Raw genomic sequence first — 8,648 nt, forward strand, 5'->3', positions numbered from 1 at the left:
TCTCGCTCTGTCGCCCAGGCTGGAGTGCAGTGGCGCAATGTCAGCTCACTGCAAGCTCCGTCTCCCGGGTTCATGCCATTCTCCTGCCTCAGCCTCCGGAGTAGCTGGGACTACAGACACCCGCCACCACGCCTGGCTAATTTTTTGTATTTTTAGCAGAGACGGGGTTTCACCGCGTTAGCCAGACTGGTCTCGATCTCCTGACCTCGTGATCCGCCCACCTCGGCCTCCCAAAGTGCTGGGATTACAGGCGTGAGCCACCGCGCCCGGCCTCAGGTATTTCTTTATAGCAATGCAAGAACAGACTAGCCCAAGTATTTTTGACCTATGGGCTATTTAGAAGTATCTTACATAATTTCCATGTATTTTGCTGTTGTTTTTTTTTCTTGTTATCTTATTCTCATTGATTTCTAATTTAATTCCATTGTGGCACAAGGGCATAATCTGTATGATATCAAGTTTTTAAAAAGGAATTAAGGACAGGTATCATTAGCCAAAGATGGAGTAGCATATGAATGTTGGGGAATGAAATACATACACTTGCAAAGAGCTTGCATACTGCAGTATTTTTAGTGTTATATTTTAAAATATCAATTACGTCAAGGTGGTTAGCACTATTGTTTAGAGTTTTTATGTCTTCATACAGATTTTGTCTTGTTCTATCAATTGTAGGGAAGGATATTAAAATCGTAACTAAGACTCTGAAATCATCTTTTTTTCTATTTTAATCTGTTACATTTTGCTTCATGTATTTTAAGTCTCTTTTATCAGACATGTGTACAATTAGAATTATTTTCCATTTCTAGACATTTTGGCACTTTTACCATTATAGAATATACCTCGTTACATGTGGTATTAATCTTTGTGATGAAGTTTCTTTCCCTGGTATTTTAATAGGGACTTTAGTCTTTTTATGCTTATGGTTTCATGTTGTACTAGTTAACTTCTTTCTAATTCTGTATATTTATATTTAAAATATTTCTTCAGACAACCAAGAGTTATATATTACTCTGGGTATCCATTTTGACAATCTAGAGTTTTTTTTCTTTAATTAACCTGCCATAAAATTGACATTTTGTTATAGAGTTCTACAGATTTTAACACATGCGTATATTTATGTAATTACCATGATCGGAAATATTCCCTTGCCCCCAAAAGAGTTATCTCCTTCTCCCCATTTGTAGTCACATGCTTGCCTCTCTTTTAAGCCATAGCAATGACTAATCTGTTCTCTATCACTGTAATTTTATTCATTTGAGAATATAATTTAATGAAACAACATGTAATCTCTTAAGACATTTTATCTAAGTCATCAGTCTTTCAAATTATTGTTCCTTTTTACTTATGCAATGTGTCATTTACTTTTTGGCTGGTTTAAGATATTTTCTTTGGTTTTAGCAGTATGAATGAATGGATCTGGTGTCTGGAAATTTTTACTGTTATTTGTTTGATTTTTCAACCTATTCTTGTGATTTATTGTAACTCTCAACTTTGTAAATTTATATTTCTCAGCAAATACGGAAATTCAGTACCATTATTTTGTCAAATATTTTTGACCTTAGTCTTACTTTCCTTTTTTTCTGAATTCTAATTCTGTATGTGTTTATTCTTTTCTTATTGTCTCTTGTGTTTTTCAGGCTTTGTTTATCCTTCTTGATTGTTTTTTCTACATTTATTTTCTGTTGATTCATTTTCAAGTTAATTTACTCTTGCCTTCTCTTTATCCATTTTGATCTTAAGCTAATGGAGTAATTTTTATGTTATTTTGAATTATTTTTTGGGTCTAAACTTTTTATTATGGGTCTATTATTTTGTTTCTTATTCATTCCTAAGATAACCTACTTTTCATTTATGAGAAACATGTCTTTCTTTAAATCTTCGAGTATCATTGCATTCTCTGTAAAACACCCTTCTCTGTTATTACAGCATCAGAGGCATCTCTATGTTGGTCACCACTGATGATCTTTTCTTATATACTTCTGTTTCTTTGTATGTAGAACAATTTTGGATTTTTCCCTGGACATTGAGAATAGACTTGTTATGTTCCTCCAATAAAAGCTATGTTTTAAAGTAGCTATAGAACTTAGCTGAAATAAAAGTTCAAAATTCTTCCTTCTGCAATGAATGACATTTCATTCCACTGGAATTATACTAGCTTTAGGTGGACTACTTAGGTCCTTTACCTAAGTAAAGGCATGTGTGATTCAGCCATAATCCAATGATTTGTGCTAGAATTATACCCCTGCTTCTCTGGTTCTTGCCTTCCTGGAGTTTTTCCTTTCATATCTCAGTGGCCATGGTTGCTCTGAACCATCTCCTTTTATTCTCCATGCAAGAATTATTGTGAGTTTTCTGTCAGAGACCTAGAAGCCCACCACCACCACCTCAGCACACCTGTGGGTTTTCCTGCATGGTGATATGTCTAACAAACTTAGAAACTCATATGTGCCATTTTCTTCTTCCAAGCGTTAGCTTCTGCTATGGTTTGAACATGTTTCCCAAAGGCTCATGTGTTGAAAATTTAATCTCTCTGCCCTCATGAATGGAATAATATTGGCTCTGCCTCCTGAGGAGATTAATGGATTAGTGAGAGCTCTGTCCTCATAAATGGATTAATGTTGCTATCACAAGAGTGGGTTTGTTATCATGGAAGTAGCTTTGTTATAAAAGCGAGCTTTCTCTGGGTCTCTTACTCCTGCATTCTCAACATGTGATGCTGTCCACCATGTTATGGCCCAGCAGAAACGCCCCTACCAGATGCCAGTGCCAACCTCTTAGACTTCAAGACCCCACAACCAAGAGCTAATACATCTCTTTTCTTTACAAATTACCTGGTCTGTGGTATTTTTGTAGCAAAACGGACTAAGACAATATCCCTTCAGTTCCTGATTTATTTGTTCTCTTTCAGTTTTTTTTTATTTTCATAATATTACAGGATTAATTGTCATTGTTTGTCAGAGTATAGGTTAAATAGATTTTACTCAGCCATACTAGAGCTAGGAATCCTCCAACCCCTTGTATGAGCTAGGTCCAAATAGCAACTTTTGTTTCCTGAGTCATCTTTAGAATAACTGATTTTAGTCTAGTATTTCTCTTATGCCAAATTTTATTTTCTGTAAAGAAAACTGTGGACAAAAATGTTCACATTTGAAATTTGTAAAACTCTTCAAAGAAATCCTTGGGATCCGTCTTGCAAAAAAGACCCAAAAATGTCCTTTTATCCAAGATACAATACATAATAACAAAAAATAATTTTCTCATAATAAATATTAGTTTATTGCTTTCAAAAAGCATTTTATGAACTTTTAGGTAAAATAAGCTACATGAAGTTACCAAAAATATGTTTTTCTTAATTTATACCTGTACTGCTGAGGAGATAATTATCAATTTTAAGGTGATTTGTCTACCACTTGACACATATATTTCTGAGGCACAGAGTTGGGACTGATTGGAAAAATACTCAGCTACAATTTTATGAACAAATCTCACAAATGAGGAAGTACTCAAGTAGCAATTTCATTAAAAATATTGCCCGATATTATTGGGCTGAAAACAAATCTCAATGTATAATAGTCTACTTTCTAATTGGGATGATACAAAGAGCTGACAAAAACCATGAAGTAGGACACCAACTATTTTATTTGCCAAAGACTAAAACACCTTCTTCATTTCCCTATATACATGTCTCTCTACATGGATTAGGGAAATGCTTAACAAAAGCCAAATCATAGGCTGTAGTAAAGCTTTATGCCAACATCTTACACTCCTCGAGAGATATCTAAATCCTTTTGCCTAAATAGAAACATTTGTGCAAAGAAGTATTGCCAAATCTGGTGTTTTCGAAATATAGGAAGAGTTTTCTTATCCAATGTAAAAAAAAGGGGGACATTAAAATCGGGATCACAGCTGTTTTACTATATTTTGTTGTAATCTAAAATGTTTGGCTCCTTTTGTTGAAAATGAGCAATGTTTCCATTTTTAAAACGATACTATTAACACATCAGCCGAAATTTCTCTTTCTCTTTTTAAACACGGCAATAAGTCAGTTTCAAGAAAACTATTCACAAAATAATTCTAGATTTGTATCAATTCCTCTAAGATCACCTCAACAAAACTTATAACATTATCTCGTTTAGAGCATTTGGGCTGCCGTAACAAAACATTATAAACTAGGTAGCTTATAAATAACATAAATTTATTTCTTACGGTTCTGGAGGCTGGGAAATCCAGGATCAAGGTGCTAGGAGATTGGGTGTCTGGTGAGACCCTGTTTCCTTGGGGTCTTCTTGCTGTGTCCTCACTTGGTTCAAGAGGATGAGGCAGCTCCCTGGGGCCTCGTTTTTGTTTTTTGTTTTTTGTTTTTTTCTTTTTTGAGACAGGGTCTGGCTCTGTCACCCAGGCTGGAATACAGTGGCCTGATCTCAGCTCACAGCAACCTCTGCCTCACAGGCTCAAGCAATCCTCCCACCTCAGCCTCCTGAGTAGCTGTGACTACAAGCCTATGCCACCACACCCAGCTAATTTCTGTATTTTTTGTAAAGACAGGGTTTTACCATGTTGTCCAGGTTGGTCTGGAACTCCTGAGCACAAGTGTTGTGCTCCTGGGCCCCCCAAAGTGCTGAGATTACAGGTGTGAGCCACCACACCCGGCTGGGATCTATTTTATAAAAATGGGCAAAAACTCATGAGGACTCTGCCTCTTAATACCCTCCTAATATCATCACCTTGACAGTTAGGATTTCAACATATCAGTTTGGGGGAGATACAAACATTCAGACCCTAGCACTCTCCCACATCTAATTTTACACAAATGTTTTAAAATAACTTACATTTAGTGAGTTATTTCTAAGTATGCAGATAGTTCTGCATAGGAAAAAAACTCTATTTCCATTGATCCAATTAATATTTAATTTAATTATGCAGTGATTAAAACTGCAGCTAGCATAAAGTTTTGGAGCAAAAATACAATGAATTACTGAATATATACACTGGAAAGCATAGTACTTGAGCACTGATCCATGAATACCATCTACGAGTATCATTTTTATAGAGAAAATAGAGTCATTTATCTATTAAGTCAGAGAAGGAGCTTCTATTTAACACAAGTTTTCTTCCTTTATTCTCTACACAAAATATGAAGTTCAGAAAAGACTTAGGGAATAAGACAGGACAAGATTTTAAACTCAATATATAAAGTAAACACAATTCAGGAAAAAGTAAGAAACATATATACATGAGAAATTTTGTCACTAAATATCTTTTCTCTCTCATATGTGTTATTTAGTTAAGTAGTTTTCTTTAAATTTATTTCTAATTATCACATAATTGGTGGTTCTAATCATTAGTGAATAACTCAGCCTTCATCATGACTGGGTAATTTATTGTATACATTTGGGCAAATAAGCAACTACACATAACCTCACACAATTTGAATTTTACTCATTCTTAATGAAATAGGTGTAAAATAAGGCAATATAATAAAATTACACACACACACACACACACACACACACACACACACAATTTCCATAAGACTTTTCTCTTTACTCTTTGGGACACCAGGCAAGAATAACTCTTACAGGAGCAGAAAATTCTACAAAGTACATGAAATGAAATTAATGCAGTACATAAACCGAGAGCTCTGCTGTTTTACCGACTGAAGTTCACGAGAAGTGTGGGAATGAACAGTATTAATGTTGCGAGGTTGTGTCTGAATAATTGCTGATTGCTCGTTTGTCTTTTTCCCTCAAATTATAGATGTATGCATTTGTACAGAAACAATGCTTTTGTTAGTTTGTTTGGGGTTTTGTTGTAAAACTTTTTACATAAAAATTTTGCCTCCGAAAAAACCTTTCACTCCTTTTACTGGATTTATAAATCTGGGTCTCAGTATTCATTTTGATGGGAAGTGGAGAACGAGAATCTAAGGTCCCAATATTTAGTATGTGGTTTGTGCAGATATCACCTTATACTGCACAATGTTTGCATTAGAAACAGGACACCACATTTGTGCAAACATAGCCCTATGAGCAAAGGAATATGGAATTCCCTGACTTCAGTGGTCCCTTTTTTGTTCTGCAGGTTACATTTTTGCAGGGCACAGACTGCACACATGTACACTGTGTCCTAGTAGATTTCTACTTCATGCCTTGTGTGCAGTATGGTACCATTTCTGTCCTCCATCTCCGGCAGCCTTCACTCCAGAGATTGACCTCAGACAGGGTGAAGAGAAGGGCCTCAGGGTGCAGAATGGGGCAAATGGTCTGAAGCTCTGGATTCTTCTTTCGTAGATATTCATAATCACCTTATCTTCCTTATTGCTGCCACACTTTGGCCTTTCAGGCAAATCTGAGGCCATTAATTCCTTAGCCTTTGCAAATTTTGTTGTGCAAATCAGGTAGCACCTTGGCTTTCTCCACTATCAGTTTAAGATTCTGCTTTCTTGTGCTTTCTAGATTAGATACGCTTTCTAGATTTTGAGAATGTTTTACTGTTCTCATTTATAGTTTTGTTTTCTTTCTGTAGTCATTTCTTAAAAATACTCACTATTGTCATTCAGTGGAGAGTTTCAGAGGCAAGGAAGTTAAATCAGTGATTGTATGTATCACAGGATTTTGAAAATAAATTTTATAGCAGTATCTATCTATCATTTGTCTATATATTTGTGGTGTAAAAGACTAAAAGAGGAAGTTGTGAAAGAGTAATCATTAATGTGGATGGGAAAGCAGAATACGCCCAGTAAGAATATGGTGACATCATAAATACAACCAAGACAACATAACACTTTTTAAAGAGAATTTTCAAAACTATTTTCTCTTCCAGTCATATTTTATTAGTCATATATATCAAGAAAATAATGTAAATTTTAGCGCAACCTAAACATGCTATCAAGGCAAAAAAAGGCAGAACAAAACGAAGCTCAGAATATTTATGCTATAAAAAAAAATCACCTGGAACTCTCAATAGTGTCAATTTTCTATTGCTTTTATGTGAGCTGTAAAAAGAAACATTGGTACCGGTGCTCTGGTCTCAGGCTCACTAAACAAACCAAACTGTAATTGCCTGAAAGTTTTCACATTCATTTTAATTGACTTGCCTTGTTTTAAGCTTACATTAAAATTTGTTTTCTAGATAATCTTTATTTTGGAGGAGGCATTGGAATTGGTCTTCAAGAAACAAAATATGCTCTTTCAGTAAGTAATGTTATCATTTGAAGGAATGTAAGTCAATGTAGATTTCATCATTTGGAAGTATTTACCCTAATGAATAAGATTAAAATTCGCTTATAAATAATAAACTCCATGACTAAAAATTTTAGAAAATTATACTAATATGTAGATGTCTTCAGTTTTCTATTTGCTTACTGTGTGGGATGTAATCAACTAGGTGTATTGAGGAGCTAGTATTAATAATTGCCTAGTCATTTTCTTACAATTAGCATAGGAATTTTGTTGCTCTGGATGAGGGAAGCTAATATAGTAGAAAACAGAAGGATATAAATATTGAACTAAATGTCGGGGAAATCAGGATTAAAATTCTGAGTAAAAGGAATTAACCAAGCGTACCAAAAAGCTCTCTTGTTTCACTTTCTTTTATCATGAGGTAATAAGTTGAAATATCTGCTCTGTGGTCTGCAGAAATTGACCTTCAGTGGGATCCACATATACACAGTTTAATTTATTCTATTTAAAGAAGCAAAAGGGACTGACATGTTGAACTAAAATAGCAAACTATCTATTTCACACAAAAATTATTTTATTAATTTTGAATGGGATTTTTAAAATGTAATACTTTGCGCCATGTCCTGGAAGAAAATTACCATGAATTCTGCATTACAGACCAGAACATTGCTTAAGGAAGAAATAAATATAACAGAAAAATGATATCATTAAGGACTATTTTTGTGTATCAATGATATATGCATTGTCTTTCTATACTCAGGCTCAATTCCGACCTTCAAAAAAGTCAAGGAGAAACTTGTCTGTCTTATCATTTCCCAGTGATTTCTGGACTCTAAAAAACACATCAAACAATCTTAAACTACCATTATTTCTAATAGGTTGTATCTGAAGGAAATATTGTGTTAGCTTAAATCCTTAAGTTTATTTGTCATTTTTTCATTCCTAAGCATAAATTTGAATATTTCTATCTCTCCAAATGATATCTTCTATAGAAGGAATATCCCAGTTTTTCACATAATTTATATTAGTAATATTTCACGGAAATAAAAGTGTTCTAAATGGAAGATACAGCATGTTGTCTCTATTGGTATTCCTCAGTACTGGTTAAGAAGTTTTTTTTATAAAAAGGCTTAAACAATAGGAATGAACCACAAACAAACACCAAATATGTTCATCATTTAGGGGGAATAAATGAGGTTTTTTTTTTTTTGCTTTTTTTAACTGAGAGAGAAGAAGTTATAGCATTTGATTAAGAAAGGGTAGAAGAAAGGAAGGAAAGAAGGAAGAAAGAGGAAACTGCATATATCATATCAACTTGAAAGTATATTCTTAGATTATAAGATAAAACAAGATTAAGCTTTTTAAGATTTAAAAAACCTGCGAATACCTACAAATTCTTAATACTTCTGTAGAAAAATGAAACACCTGGAATAAAACAGTCAAGCAATGAATGGACCATGAATTTCT

Source organism: Homo sapiens, chromosome 18, assembly GCF_000001405.40.
Source record: "Homo sapiens chromosome 18, GRCh38.p14 Primary Assembly".
Lineage (NCBI taxonomy): Eukaryota > Metazoa > Chordata > Mammalia > Primates > Hominidae > Homo > Homo sapiens.